Genomic DNA, 15,787 nt, shown 5'->3' on the forward strand with positions numbered 1-15,787 from the left:
GCATAAATTTCTCCACAGTGAGATCAAATTAAATTTTGGCCCCTTTGTAGGGGCATTTTTTTGAGGCTAGTCTTCAGTGTTTGTTATGAACTGCGGAGGTCTGTTCCTAGCTATCTCTCTTCCCAGTTCTCTTTGGTACACTAGCTAGCCCGTGGTTTAACTTGTTCCTGTCTTAGAGCTACCAGCTTCCTTTTAGTTGCTTACTGCCCAAATCTCCATATTTTTGAGGGTACCCTTAGGCTTGAACTTCTCTACACTCTGTCCCAAATAAAGTCTTTTCTTTTTGGGAGGCTTTTAGAGTTCTCTGCTCTTAGGTCTGCTCCTGCTCTGCAGCAGAATCTCTGAGCCACTACCAGTGGGCAGGGTGGTAGCCTCTAGTCTTTTTGGCTTACCTATCCCTGTGTGTAACCACGGTCTTATGAGTGAGATGGGTTGAAGGCAAATGGGGCCCCTGTGTTCTAGGCCTGTCATGTTTACGGTAGAGCCTCTGCCTGTGTTTTGAGGCTGGTGGCAGAAGTGAGGGAGTTGAGTATAAGAAATTCTGTTGGCCTGTCTGTCCTGGAGAGATACTCTAACCCTTGACTGGAAACTAGGCAGGGAGAGAGCCCTGTCTTGACCCCATCTGCCAGGATTAGAAATTTCATTATGCTGAGCGGGCAGAGGGAAGAAAGGGGCAGTGTGGCTCAGATACTATAGATTCTTGCTATTTCTATTGAGATTTAGTAGATTATTTAAAATAAAATAGTTTTTCGTTTGCTGTATTCCCTTAGAACACTCCCCAGAGCACTGAGTTTTTGTTTTCTTTTCAAGCAGTTTTCTCCAATTATGTTTTTTTTCATTGATTGAATTTTGACAATTAAGTCAGTCTTATTTTCTCTGGATAAACCTTACTTGTTCGTAGATCTTTGGGCATTTTATTGAATTTGATTTGCTAATATTTTGTTGAGAATTTTTGCCTTTATATTTATGAGGAATATTGGTCTTTAATTTTTTTTTGTTTGTTATTGTTTTCTTGTTTTTAGTTTTGGTATCAGTAATGCCTCAAAAATGACTTAAGTGTTTTGTGTCCCATTTTCTGGAAAACATGTCAAGTTGGTATTACTTCTTCTTTAAGTGTTTTGGTAGAGTTCACTAGTAAAACTACCAAACCTGGAGTTTCGTTTTGTTTCTTCTCTTCTCTTCTCTTCTCTTCTCTTCTCTTCTCTTCTCTTCTCTTCTCTTTCTTTCTTTTTTCTTTCTTTCTCTCTTTCACTGTGAGTTCATTTGTTTCTGTAGGTGTAAGACTTCAGGTTTTTTGAGGAATAGGTGCATTTCATCTAAGTTGCTGATTTTATTTTTATAGAGTTGTTCTGGTATTATTATCCTTTTAATGCCTGTGGGTTCTATATTTTCTCTTTTATTCCTGATAGTGGTAGTTTCTGACTTTTTTCTTTGTCAGTCTGCCTTAGAGGTACATCAGTTTTGGTGATTTTCCTTTTAAAGAATTAGATTTTCTGTTTTGTTTAATTCTTTTTTTCAATTTCTGTGTTTTTTCCTCTCATCTTTATTTATTATTTTTGTTTACTTTTGGTTTATTTTGTGCCCTTTTTCAAGGTTTTTGAGATGTAAGCTTAGGTGATTGACCTGAGAGCTTTTCAAAGATAAGCACTTGAAATTATAAATTTCCCCTTGAGTACTAATTTGGTTACATCCTACAGATTGTATGTTTTATTTTTGTTTTCAATCAGTTCAAAATATTTCTAAATTTCCCTTTATAATACCTCTATGACCATGGATTACTTAGATATGCACAGTTCAATTTTTATGTATTTGGAGATACTTTCCAGTTTCTCATGTCACTTTTTAGTGTAATTCTCTTATAGTCAGAAAATATTTGTATGAATTCAATTCTTTTAACTTTTTTTTTTTTTTTAAAAGAACTAAGATGCAACTAATTTGATGAATGTTTCATTTTCTCCTTTTAGGAATTTGTAATCTACTGTCGTTGATGTTGTATTATTATTATTATTATTATTTTTCAGACAGAGTTCTCTCTTGTTGCCCAGGCTGGAGTGCAATGGCGCCATCTTGGCTCACCACAACCTCCACCTCTGGGTGGAGGCTGAGGCAGTAGTTCAAGCGGTTCTCCTGCCTCAGCCTCCCCAGTAGCTAGAATTATAGGCATGCACCACCATGCCCAGCTAATTTTGTATTTTTAGCAGAGATGGGGTTTCTCCATGTTGGTCAGACTTGCCTCAAACTCCTGACCTCAGGTGATCCGCCCACCTTGGCCTCCCAAAGTGCTGGGATTACAGGCGTGAGCCACAGCACCCGGCCGTTGAAATTATATTCTATAAATGTCAATTAGATCTAGTTGGTTAATGATGGTGTTCTGTTTTTCTGTATCCTTGCTGACTTTTGTTTACTTGCTTTATAATTACTTAGAGGAGTATTGAAATTTCCAAATGTAATGCTGGAATGGTCAGTTTCTCCTTTCAGGCTTATTAGTTTTTGGTATTTTTAACTTGAAGCTCTGTTGTAAGTGCGTACACATTTAAGGGATATTATGTCTTCCTGGTAAGTTGGCCTTTTTATCATTATTTAACATACATTTCTTAGCCCTGGTAATATTTTTTAATTGCTCTGAAGTGTACTTATTCTGATGGTAAGGTAGCCACTCCAGCTTCTCTTTGTTTACTTTTTGCATGGTATATCTTTTTTCACCTGTATGTTTCCTGTAGACAGCATATAGTCTTTTTTTTGTTTTTTTAACCATTTTGACAATCTCATTCTTTTGGACTATCTATATCTAATATAATTATTGTTCTATTTGGATTTAGATAAACCCTTTGCTTTTTTAAATTTTCTGTTTGTTCCATTTGCTTTTTCACTCATGTGATTGATTCTTCTTTCCTGCCATCTTTTGGATTATCTGACTACTTTTAATATTGCATTTTACTTATTGAGTTTTTTAGTATATTCTTTGTGTATTTTTTTTTAGAGATTACTTTAGGGATTACAATGCACATTCTTAACTTTTCAGAATTTACTTATTATGTCAGTTTCCTGGGGCTCCTATAATAAATTGCCACAAACTGTAGCTTAAAATACCAGAAATTTATTCTTTCATGGTTCTGGAGGTTGGAAGCCCCAAATCTCAAGGTATCATCAGGGCCGTAAATCCTTTGAAGGGTATAGAGAAGAAACCTTCCTTCTAGTTTTGGTGGTTGCCAGCAATCGTGTTCCTTGGCTTATCCCTGCATCACTCCAGTCTCTGCCTCTGTTTTCACATGGTCTTCTTTCTCTTCCCACTGTGTTTCTGTACTTAATCGCTCCTTTCTTTTGTGAAGACACAAGTCATTGGATTTAGGGCCTTCATAAATCCAGTATGACTTCCTGTTAATTTGGTGAGATTTGCAATGACTCTGTGGCCAAATAAGGTGAAATTCAGAGGTCCTGGGGGTTAAGTCTTGAACACATCTTTTTTGAGTACACAACTCACTGCACTGCACTTATATCACTTCAAGTGGAATGTGGAAACCTTGTCAGCATGTAGTTCCCTTTACTCATCCCCTTTTATGTTGTAGTTTCATATGTATTACATTTGTATACTTCAGATACTCGTCACACAGTGAGGTCACTTGCTTTCAACTATCATCATGTTTTAAAGGATTTAAGAGGAAAAGAATAGTCTATCACAGGGATTGCAAACTATGGCTGCAGGCCAAGTCTAGCCTGACATCTGCTTTTTGTAAATAAAGTTTTATTGGAATACTGCCACATTTGTTAGTTTATATATTGTCTCTGGCTGCTTTTGCACTACAATGCAGAATTGATTAGTTACAATGGAGACTGTTAGGCTTGTGAAACTTGAAATATTTTCTATCTGGCCCTTTACAAAGTATTTACTATCTGACCCTTTACGAAAAAGTTTGCCAACTCCTGGTCTGACATGTACACACACATATTTTCCATTTTTTTCCCATTCATTCATAAAACTCTAAGTTTTCTACCGGTATTATTTTCATTTTGTCCAAAGAATCTTCCTTTCTTTATAGCAGGTCTGCTAGCAATGAATTCTCTTAGTTTCTTTCATCCGAAAGTGTCTTTATTTCACCTTTGTTTTTGAAGGATGCTTTTGATCCATGTAGAATTCTGGGTGGACAGTTCTCTCGGTAGCAATTAGCTAGAGTAGAGTAGCAGCAACTGCCTTCTTTAGGTGGTCTGTGGACCTTCCAGTTTGCCATACTTTTTGATACTTTCTCTTGTCTCTTTGACATTGATACCCACTGCCATTCTTGATATTTACTATTGTGCCTATGTGGTGGTTTTTCTTATCAAAGGATCAGAAGAAAGTAAAATTTATTTGTTATTTTCTGAGACAGGGTCTTGTTCTTTTTCCCAGGCTGGAGTGCAGTGGTGCAGTCAGGGCTCACTTGCAGCCTTGAACTTCTGGGCTCAAGTGATCCTCCCACCTTAGCCTCCCAAGTAGTTGGGACTACAGGGTGCGTGTGCCATCACGCTCAGCTTATTTAAAAAAAATTTTTTTTTTTTTGGTAGTGATGGGGTCTCACTATGTTGCCTGGTCTGGCCTCGAACTCTGGGCTCAAGTGATTTTTCCTACTTTGGCTTCCCAAAGTGCTGGGATTACAGGTGTGAGCCACCACACCTAGCCAGAAGTAAAATTTTTACTGTACTCCTGTTTCTATGTAGTGGGAAAACAAAATCATAAGTCCGTGTTTCAAGAAATGTGGGAGAAACAATAATTTTTAATGGCATTTGGAATGTTTATACATGTCCGGTATGCAAAAAGGATCATACCTGTTTTCAGACTTGTCTTTTTAAACACTTGAGTTGGCATCTTATGCTGCAACATATATTTTCAAAATGCTTTAACATCTCACCCATCATTTTCTTTTTCAAAGTAGCACTTTTTCCTGTATAATTTATGTCTTTCCCTAATAACTTTTTGGCATATATTTTCAGTGTCTTTGCCCTGTCTTGCTTTCTTATAGCCAAGTCACATCAAAGTTGATTTAGCCCTGGGTTGTGAATCAGAAATGCTGGATTCTGTTTTCTCTCACTCTGTCACTAATTAGCTGTGTGTATGAGACCTTGAACAAGGTTAGGCCTACCAGACTACAATGTATCTCTGAAACAAGGTGTTTAAACTCAATTTCGCTCTGAAGCTTTTTTTTTTTAAGCTTTTTTTTTTTTTAAGGTCTTTACTATTCGAAGTTACTCTCTGCCAACAACCTTGTTCATGCTGTGATATTCTCATCCAGAGGTTATTAATATTTTTTGTTCCATGAACCTTTTTGGCTCTCTGGTGAAGAATGTGGACCCCTTCTCAATAATAGTTTACATGTGCAAAATTAAATACATATGCTTATGAGGTCACCAGTTATATTGGAGTACAGTTTTTAAAATATTGACTAAACAAACTCAGTAACATGCATATCAACACGAAGTCTACTGGTATATAGTATTAATAACTTTTAGACTTGTGATGAATATAAATGATAATTTGAGATTTGAAGCAACTAAAGTGATATGAAAATATCTGTGGTTTCTAGTGGTAACAAAAATCATCACAGGTGCCTCTAGCACCACTGTGGCTTGTTACCTACATTTTAAATTAAGGAAATACTAAATTTCAGTTAGAGGTTTGTAAAATTAAAGCTCTAGCTTTTTTACCCCAGCCAAGTTTATGTACCTTCTGCATTCAGTCAAAAGACTGAAGATTTATAGAACCTGGTTAAGAATTCTGTCTTTTCCAGCCCATGAGACATTTGGCTTAGTGCCTAATATATATTAGGTGAACATAAGTTATGTGTAATACATATGAAATACATTCCTCAGTGAAAAAGTATTGCTAATAAAGGTTTTAATATTATTGCCATTTGTGACCTTGTGTTAATTATAATTAGTGCTTTATAAATCCATAGAGAACAATTGGCAAACACAGAGTTTTATTTACTACCTGGCATATAGTAGGGCTCAGTATTTTTGGAAGGAAGTTAGAAGAGTCTCTGATTATTAGTATCAATGATTTTTGACCATTTTATTTTTAAATACTTGTTTCAAAATCTCTGGTAAATTTCTGTGTGAAATAATTTGTTTACTTTAGTATTTCTTGACAGGGAATACAGGTATCCCCTATAAATGGCAAGCTGCTATAGTTATCCTTAGTATAACACATGATAAACTGAAACTTAGTTCTTAGATAAATAAAGCAAACAATACGTTTGTCTGCACTGCCTGAAAATTTTGAATTGCACAATTTTTCAAATATTCTCAATTCAGTAGCAGTGAAACAACACATATTGAGGTTAAAGTTCTTTACATTAATAGTATACTACCACTGTTCTTAGAGTAGACTCATACCCCTACTTCTTTGATTCTAGGTTTACTCTAATTTTAATGTTTCTCCTGGAAATGTAAGTCCTAAGTTTTTATAGGGCTTTTTAGTTGCCTTCTTCCTCCTCATAGGAAAATATCCATTTGTTAAATAAAGATATTAATATATACAGAAATATGTTTGTAACCAATATTCTTAAACCTACACTTAACTGACCCACTCTTTTAAACAAACCATTATTTTAGATTCTTAGTCCTGAGTATTCTGAGCATTTATAGCTAGTAAACTACTCTCTAGTTTACCCTTGTACCCTTTTCTCCACCAGGTTAGTTATATGCCTAACAAGAATCAGTTTTTATGCCAATGTTAATGTAATTTTTACTTTAAATGTGATCTAAGTGAATAAAATATGAGCACAGAAAGATAGAACTATTGTTTTAATGAAAAGCACGGTGAATGGTTCGGAAGGACTTATATAAAGTTCTTTACAAATTGCTAAAGGATTAGGTGTGGATAAGCCCAGAGGTTTAGGAAACTTTTGGTTCAATTGACTAAACAGTATGGAAAACTATTTTCTCACATATCTGGAGGAATGGAAGCTTTTGTGTGGTTGGTTAATGCAGTGGTTTAATAATTAATTCCAGGGTCAGATTCTTTCTGTTTGTTCTGCCATTGTCAGAGTGTCAGCTTGTCCACAGGCTAGCTCTCTTTATGGTTACAAGATGGATATAGTAGCTCTAGTTGTGCTATTCTGATATAACAACACCTATTGGGGAAAGAGGGTCTGTTTTTTCTTTCTTTCCTAGAATCCTACCATCAGTTTTTCCCTTATGTCTCACTAGCCAGGATTGGTTTAAATGCCCTTTCATAAATCAATTACTGACAAGAGGGATAGGATTACCAAATTGGCTTACACTGATCACATTTCCTTTTTTTTTTTTTTTTTTTTTTGAGACAGGGTTTCTTGCCCAGGCTGGAGTGCAGTGGCACAATCTCAGCTCACTGCAACCTCTACCTCCCAGGTTCAAGCGATTTTACTGCTTCTGCCTCCTGAGCGACTGGGATTACAGGCACCCACCATCACGCCTGGCTAATTTTTGTATTTTTAGTAGAGATGGGGTGTGCCATGTTGGCCAGACTGGTCTTGAACTCCTGACCTTAGGTGATCAGCCCGCCTCAGCCTCCCAAACTGCTAGGATTACAGGCGTGAGCCACTGTGCCCGACCAGCATTTACTCTTGAACCATGTGGGAAAGTTTGAATATTTGGACAACTATGGTGGTCACAGATAGAAGGGCTTTTAGAGTGTCAACCAGGAGTGTTTGCTATGGTGAGACAGCTATTAAAAAATTAGAAAGTATTTGTTAAATTTCAGAAAGATTCTGCTATTTATTTGCCTTTAAGGTCTTGTTCAACTTTAAACAAAATTGAAACTGGACATCTTAAAAGATGCATTATAGATGTGCATTATACAAAAAATGATGTGAAAAGTTAATTACTAATCCTACACTCAAAAGCTTGTCCTACGTCAGACTATCAAGGGGGAATAAATGTCCATTTGTATTTTAAAAGTATTTGATTTGGCAGGAACTAACTTTTAAAATTAACCTTCCGGTTGCTGGTCTTTTTCTTACTAGACAAGGTGCTTCTGCTGCAGTCCTTGTAAGGAAAATGATGTTTCCATAAAATTAAAGTTAGTAAAGGATTTAGTATATTTCTTGTGCTTCATTTATTCAGTAAAATGTATCTGTTATGTATCACTTATTGTAGGTACTTGTGATAACAGTGATAAGCTTAATAGACAAGGTTCTTCTGCTTAAGGAACTTCAGGGATACAGACAGAAAACAAATGAGAACAAAATTCAGACTGTTGGGTGTTCAGTGAAGGCCTTTCTGAAAAGAGATAGTCAAGCAGACATGTTAACGTCAAGAAGCAGTTTGGCATTTGGAGATTTGGGGTAAGATCGTTGAAAAGGAGCAGCAAATATAAAGGCCCTAAATTGAGAACTGACTGGATGTGTTTGAGAAACACAAAGAAAGGCAATATGGCTAGTACTTACTGAGATATTCTCACTTCTTTTCTTACTCTTTGTTTTCTTACCTATCATTAGTAATCACTATATTGCTTATACCGTTAAGTCTGTTGCTTCTCTCATGCTTCTTAATACTCACAACTTTTGGTTAAGTCTGCTTCTACCTATACTGTTCCTGCATCCCTGCAGTTGTGTGTGGCTAGAGAACACCAGCCTCCCATGGGTCCTTAGTACTACTTGGCAATTCTACCTACTGTCGTTCCTCTAATCCCTTCACTCTCCCTTTCTTAGAAGACCTTTTCCTCCCTCCTCAGACCTGTAACACTTCCTCCCATATTCTTATGCTCACCCGATAACTTCATTTCTTATTTTACTAAGAAAACAGAAACAGCTGAATGAGAACTTCCATAGCTTTTATTACTATGGCCTACCTGAATCTGTTCCTGTTTACTATCTTTGTTTCTGTTTCTATTGATGATATATCTTTGTGCCTATCTAAGGCCATTCTCTTATTAATGCCATCCACATCTGCTCAGAGTCATTACTCCAGTAATTTCTCTCTCTCCATCTTGTATCATCAGCATTTCCCTCTGTGCCATAATTTTTCCTGTCTTTAAAAAAAGCCTTCTGTCAACGCTAAATTTTTTCAGCTATTACCATTTTTCACTTTTATGGCAAAACTTCTTGAAAATGATGTCTGTACTTTGTCTCCAGTTTCTCTCTTCCTGTTCTCTTGTGAATCCAGTCTAGTTAGTACATTTATTTCACCAAAGCTATCTACGAAGATTACCAAGTAGGTGATCTCCATGCTGCAATCCAAAGATTAATTCTCATCTTTTTTTTTTAGTCAACAGCATTTTGAAACAGTTGATTACATTCTTCCTTGAACCACTTATTCCAGTTAACTTTCAAGATATCTACCATACTCTCTTTGGTTTTCATCTCCCTCGCTGGCTGCTCCTTCTCTAAACCATGAACTAGACCATGCAGATATATTATTTTCATTTATAATAGGAAATTAAATCACACAGAAGCTAAGCAACTTGTGTAAACAGATGTACTTTTCGGGCAGCAGGAAGACTAGAAACAGCCCCTGTTGTCTGAATTTCAGACCCCAGTTTTATTTAAGCCCATATCAAATGAAGAGCTTTTAATTTTCAAGCCTGTGGTTCAGAAATTATTGAACTTTTGTCGTTTAAGATCAGTAGGATTCCCTTTATAAGTATTCACTTCATTTGAAACTTTTAAGCCACAGTAGAAGAAAATTTCTGTCTCGAGATGGTGGGCCTTTTAGATAGACCTGACTCTCTACTTATAGTAAATTTTGTGTATCAGATGTGTAGAATCCTCCTTGGAGTATGGATGTGAGACAACTGTACAGTTGAGTTAAAAGTAGTACCACTGTGGAAAATGGAAGACACATACAACATTGTTATAAAACATTATGACAACCAGAGAGCAAATTCATTTCAATAGATTATTGTTAAGTTGTATTTGTTTTTCTTTGTAGATATAGGCAACTTTTCATTTTACATGCTAATTATAGGTCTGTGAAACCCATATTACTAAAATACTCAGAGAAACTGTTCTTAGTTAATATGGCAATTTTCCCAGACCAGGTATGGTATTCTTGAGTTTTATTTATTTTTATTTCACTGAAATTCTTGAGTTTTATTTATATTTATTTCATCTGTCCATCAACTCAGAATTTTTAAAACATCCATGTGATCAAGCAAAAAATTAGTTCATAAGGGCAAGGAAATATTTATGTGACTGCAGTCTACCTATTAAGAAAACATTGCTTGATGTAGTTCTAGAATTTGAGGAACCCTTATTTTAAAGATAATGGCTAAATGCATTTACTGCATGTTTTATTGAGCTCCAGTGAAATCGGTCACATCTTGTAGTTTGTCCTAATTAATAGCCACCCCAGAATGTAATGTCTTCTGTTAAAAAAAGAGAAAACCTGTTCAGCTGGTTCAGCTGTCTTAACCTAACCAAATTCATATTTTAACTTTGAGTATGGTAATGACTACCAAATTACAGATATTTTAGATACTATTTTCAGCTTCTAAAAGGTTTGGGCATTGTTTAAATACTATTGAGTAATGAAGTGGGATGAGGGGAACATGGGGAAGGTTTTTTAAAAAGTTTAAAAGAAGAAAAAGTTAAAAAAGATTCATCTAAGTCATTTTATTTTATAGCTTAGGAAACTAAGGCCAGAGAGAAGTAATTGATCTATTTTTTGGGTTTGTAATTTTGCCTTTTCCATAATGTCATATTAATGGAATTGTTCAACGTGTGGCCTTTGGGGTCTGGTTTGTTTCCTGTAATGTAGCAAAAATGCACTTAAGATTCATCCATCTTGCATGAATTAACAGCTTCTTCCATTTTGTTGTTGAGAGTATTCTGTTGTGTAGATACTCTGTTTATCCATTCACCTATTAAAGGACATCACGTCTTCACTGGAATGAAGTACATCTTCATACATGTACTGGTTTTGGTGTGAACCTGTTTTCAGTTTATACTGGTAAATAACTTTGGGGCATAGTTGCTGAGTTGTATGGTAAGCTTGTGTTTACCTTTATAAGAAACTGCCTAACCTTCTAACATGGCTGTACTTACCTTCATTTTTGAAAGATATTTTAGCTGGGCTTAGAATTCTTTGTAGATAGTTTTCTTTTCTTTTCTATACTTTAAATATATTGAACCACTCTCCTCTGATTTGCATTGTTTCTGATGAGAAGTCTGATGTCATTCCTACCTTTGTTACTCTATGTATTTTTTTCCCCTGCTTTAAGATTCTTGTTTATTGCTGTTTTGCAGCTATTTTACTCTGAGATGTTGTGATCATGTGGTTTTGTTTTTGTTATTCTCTTTAGAGGTTGTTGAATTTGGATCTGTGGGTTTATAGTGCTCATCAAATATATTTAAAAAATTTAGTTCCAGTTTCCCCTCCTTGTGCTTCAGCCTCAAAACTACAGGCAGTGAGCTGGGTGTACTACGTTTGTTCTTTTTCTTGACGATCTCTGTCCTGAGAAGATTGTTGTGTGATGTCTGGAAACCATTGTTTCATATATTTTGTCTAGTTTTCTGTTTATTTAAGGTAGAAGGGTAAACATAGCCTCCTTTTTTCATCATGAAATACATCCTTGCCTTATAGAAAATTTCATTGTAGTTTTGCAAATATTTGTCTTTTCTGAATTCTTGAATATAGGACTTGGTGGGAGAACAGTGTATAAACCTTAATAAATTTTGGCACCTAGGGTGCATGCTGTCTCTCATACTTGTTCCTTTTCACAGATTGTGTCTCTCTTTGACGTATTGTACATCCTTTCATTTCCAATATGAAGGTTATCAACAGAATTTATTGCTGAATATTTTTATTTAATATAGTACAGTGAAGATAGTGGTGACAGATGTTAACTTTTCATGTTTATTTGGAAGAAAATACAGTGTCTTCAGTCATTTTTCTTTTTTGTTTATTAAAAGGAGATAATGATTCTTAGTTCACTATAGAATATTAGCTCCCACATTGATTAGAGTATATAATGGCTATGGATTGAAACTCCAGGCCATGAAATATTTCCAGTTATCCCCAGAAGAGGAAACAAAGCAAATAATAAATAGATTTTCCCTTTATACAAAAATCCATAATTCTTCAAAGTGAACTTGTATCTGGTAAATTCTTACAGATTAAATATTAATACGTATTGTTGTGGTGTTAGCCTATAAATTTCAGTCATTATTTTTTGTATATAATTAGGTTGTATTAAAGATGTATACAGCATTAGGGTATTGAAAATTATCTTACCTGATTATAGATTTCCAACATTCTTTTGCTGACATTAATATAATTGGAGGTAATTCGTAGACCCTAAATATTATATAAGAAGGAAAACATTTTATTCTATAAGTACTGACTGAAATTTTGCATTTATTATCCACTGAATTCAGAGTCACCATGTATGTATTAATGGTAAGGCATGTACTACTTTACAATTTAATATTATACAACACTAATATTAAAACGGTTAATATTTAGGGGATGCATAATAAAATAATCTTGCTTTCTTTTTGTGACAATCGTGAAAATTTGAGTTGGAGCCAAATGTGCGTCATTTAACAATTCCTGAATATCCAATTCATTTGTAACTTTCCTTATGAATAACCTCATTGCTTGCTAAATGATAAAGATTACATTTATAATAGTAAATATGCTTTAAAACTTTACTCCTTTGTTATTTTTGAAAGAGATATTTAATTCCAAAGGTATTTATAAATTTGGTAATCAATAATTACAATTTTGTCATACAGCCTGACTGAAGTATTTTGGCTAAACGTACACTGTAAGATAGTCAGACTTAAGTAAAAATACAACTCCCACTACCTTTGTGATGAAACATAAAAGAGGAGCCAGAAGATAGGTTTTTGTCACCTGGGTTCTTTTTAAAACTTAAATTTAGTAATATTCATTTTTAATTTTTTTTTAAATGTTCTGCCCGTATAGATTGCTTTTTAGAGGTACTCCATATATATGTGTACATGTGTGTTTGTTGGTTTTAATAATTCTAATTCACTCTCCTTATAAATTATAGATTAGATGTTATCTCCTCACAAAATGTTTGTTGATATTAAATAATAGCTCTGAATTTGAATACCAATGTTTAGTGGCTAGCAAGATTATTAGTTCAGTAGGTATGCATACTACTTCCTTAGGGAGAATGCTTAACAAAACTTAGGTAAGAGATATCTGTCTTGAAAATGCATATTTACAAATTCTTTGTAGACCCACCTTTGAATATTTGAACTCTCATTTTCAATATTCATTTTAAAGACAGCATTTCTTGTGACTGTCACCTCAGCTTCAGTGCTTTTTTTATTTTTATTTTTTATTTTTTGGTGGGAGGTGGTACCTGGAGTGCAAGTCATTTTGACTTATTTATATCTCTGCAGTTTAAGAAATCATCCCCATTATTTTTTCGCCCAATGTAAAAAAGTGAATTCCCTATTGGAGTATGCATGAAATTGGATGACTGAAAGACAAAAGCATCAAAGGAAGTTGACATTTTTTGCTCTTCTTTTTGGAGTAAAGTTTAATAGATTATTGAGTTATGTTTGTATCTCTTAATCGTGTTAAGAATATATGTTGCATTCTCATTTTGTTGCATGGGAATAAACCTACACAGAATGAATCGGTAGCTGTGTGAATAACTTGTATTTCTATCTATCATATATAATCATTTGGAGGGGAAGGATTTATAGTTAAATGATTGAATGTGAATTGTATATTTTTGAGATAACTGGAGAAGATTCATGTAAAAGAAAAAAATATGTCAGTTGTGGGAGGGGTAAACTTTTTTGTCCACTTCATTTTTTATTCACTGTAAATTTCTCCCTTGTGTGTGATGTCTGGCAGACAGTCTTAATTGAAGAAAGTAGAAGTGGGTAGGAAGAATGTTTCATATTTAATAATTTCTGTTGCAAATAAAGTATGCCAGTCTAGCCCGCGAAAATGGTTACGAGGAAGACTAGAGTATAGAACAATTACTTTTTGTTTTTTGTTTTCTGTGTATCATATTGAATATTTTTGCTGCTGTTGATATATTTACATGTTAGTAATTTTGATGGCTTTTGGATAATTCCACTCTAGAGGGAGACGTGGTGGGCGGTCCTTCCTGTGACACGACCCTTGAGTGACAGTTCTATTTGATTGCCTCCGGTACTGTGAGGAAAGGACACGACTCTATGGTGAGGACTGATGGACATACATTATCTGAGAAAAGAAACTACCAGGTAAGACCAGTCTTTCTTCTTTTTTCTCTATTGGTCTTATAGCTACATTGAAACTGTTCAAATGTGTTATATGTAATTGGAACCAGCAAATTGGTTACACCTCAATTTGAAAATTTGGGTTTATAATTTTAAATTAAGTACTGGATTTGATAGTTGAAATAGTTGGGAACACTTTTCAAAATAAAGCATATTCATAATGTATATTTTTTAGTGTCAAATCAGGTTTTCTGAGATATTTGTCAAAACTTAGATTATTTGATATACAAGTTATGACTTCATGACTGAATTCAAAATGGTAAAAACAAAAGTGTTGATTGCTTTTACGTATATTATTCCTGGAAGACTAAACCCGAAGTCTTGTGCTATATTTTGGATAACAAAGTATATATCACAGAAATGTAGACAAAATTGAGTAGAGTATAGAAGAAATAGAAATGAGAAACCCAGGGTGCTTAGAGACCCAAATTCTATTGAATTTGTTATTAGTTTGCTGTCCTTAAATGCTAGATTCTTGTTTTCTCATTTAATAAGGTGGTTAATAATATTCATTCCTTATTCAGTGTGTAGGAAGGCTGGAAGAATAGTGGAAATGTAACATTGCTATTTCTGAGCTTTGAAAAGAAGGTGAATTTTAAAGATTGTGCTATTAAACAGTGATTTAAAGAAAACCAACATATTTGAATTTAGTTTTTTAAAGGAAATATCCTTTATTCATTTGATAGTGATCTGTTATCACATTTATTTAGTTATCCAGAATACAGAATACTTTAAAGTTTGAGTACAAATAAACTTTTAGGCTTCCTGCACAGATATGTGTCCAACCTCCCCACCTCCCACACTTCCTTTCACTCATCAGTTCATTCCCTCTAGGTTGTGAAGGCAGCTAGTATGATAGCAGCAGCTTTGGTTAACTAACTGTTTATCTGCTAACCATTTATTTTAGCCCAGTTAATCTTTTCTTCCCTCAAATTGGAAAAGTTAGCAGTGGAGCAAATTGTAAATTAGTCTTTTTGGTGTATGGTATAACAAAGAGGCTTTGATTATAAGATCTGGGTTCTGGTTTAGGCACTGTTCCTAATTAAAAATAATGTCATATTTAACCTTTCTAGAATTTCTTCTAACTTGGTATCTAAAGTTTCTTGCCAGATCTTTATGATTTTAATAAGCCAGAGAAAACTGAGGGTATGCTGAATCAGTTTTCTCTGTAACCTTTCTTCTGAGTTGTCCTCATAGACTTGACCAACATAGCCTTTGCTAATGATCTGTACTCAGGTGTAGCTCCTGCTTCCCACCCACTTCCAATTACCTTGACTCATAAGATTTTAATTGGTCACACTTCTTGGACTTCTGCATCTTTTGGTAGGTTCTGCCAAATTATTTTAAGAATTTTGTGATTCTGAATTATATGGCTTTTCAGTGCTCATAATCCAATTTGTAAAGTGTGAATGTAGAATTTTTATGTGATTACACACTATAGTTAATTTGTCTCATGGAACCACATTAATATAGAATTCCAAAATTTATACTTAAGAAAGAAAACAGAATTATGTTTTATACATGAAGAGATTTGCTTATTCTTGCTCTTTCTACACTAAAAGTACTCCATTGTTTCAGTCATA

General features: G+C 34.5%; 1 protein-coding gene across 24 annotated transcripts in view; it reads left to right on the forward strand.

The window, feature by feature from the left end:
* CNOT2 (CCR4-NOT transcription complex subunit 2) overlaps positions 1–15,787 on the forward strand; it is a 111,976-nt gene that overhangs the window by 21,089 nt on the left and 75,100 nt on the right. For 23 of the 24 annotated variants that reach the window (NR_037615.2, NM_001199302.2, XM_047428882.1 and 20 more), the window contains one exon: positions 14,026–14,168. The exons of the other annotated variant lie outside the window; for it this stretch is intronic. Coding sequence is in view for 12 of the 23 variants with exons in the window: in NM_001199302.2 (NP_001186231.1) it covers positions 14,121–14,168 (48 nt within the window). In the remaining 11 variants the exon portion in view is untranslated. Of the gene's footprint in view, positions 1–14,025; positions 14,169–15,787 lie in introns of those variants that run through there. 24 annotated transcript variants of the gene reach the window in all.

This window comes from Homo sapiens, chromosome 12 (assembly GCF_000001405.40).
Source record: "Homo sapiens chromosome 12, GRCh38.p14 Primary Assembly".
Classification (NCBI taxonomy): Eukaryota; Metazoa; Chordata; class Mammalia; order Primates; family Hominidae; genus Homo; species Homo sapiens.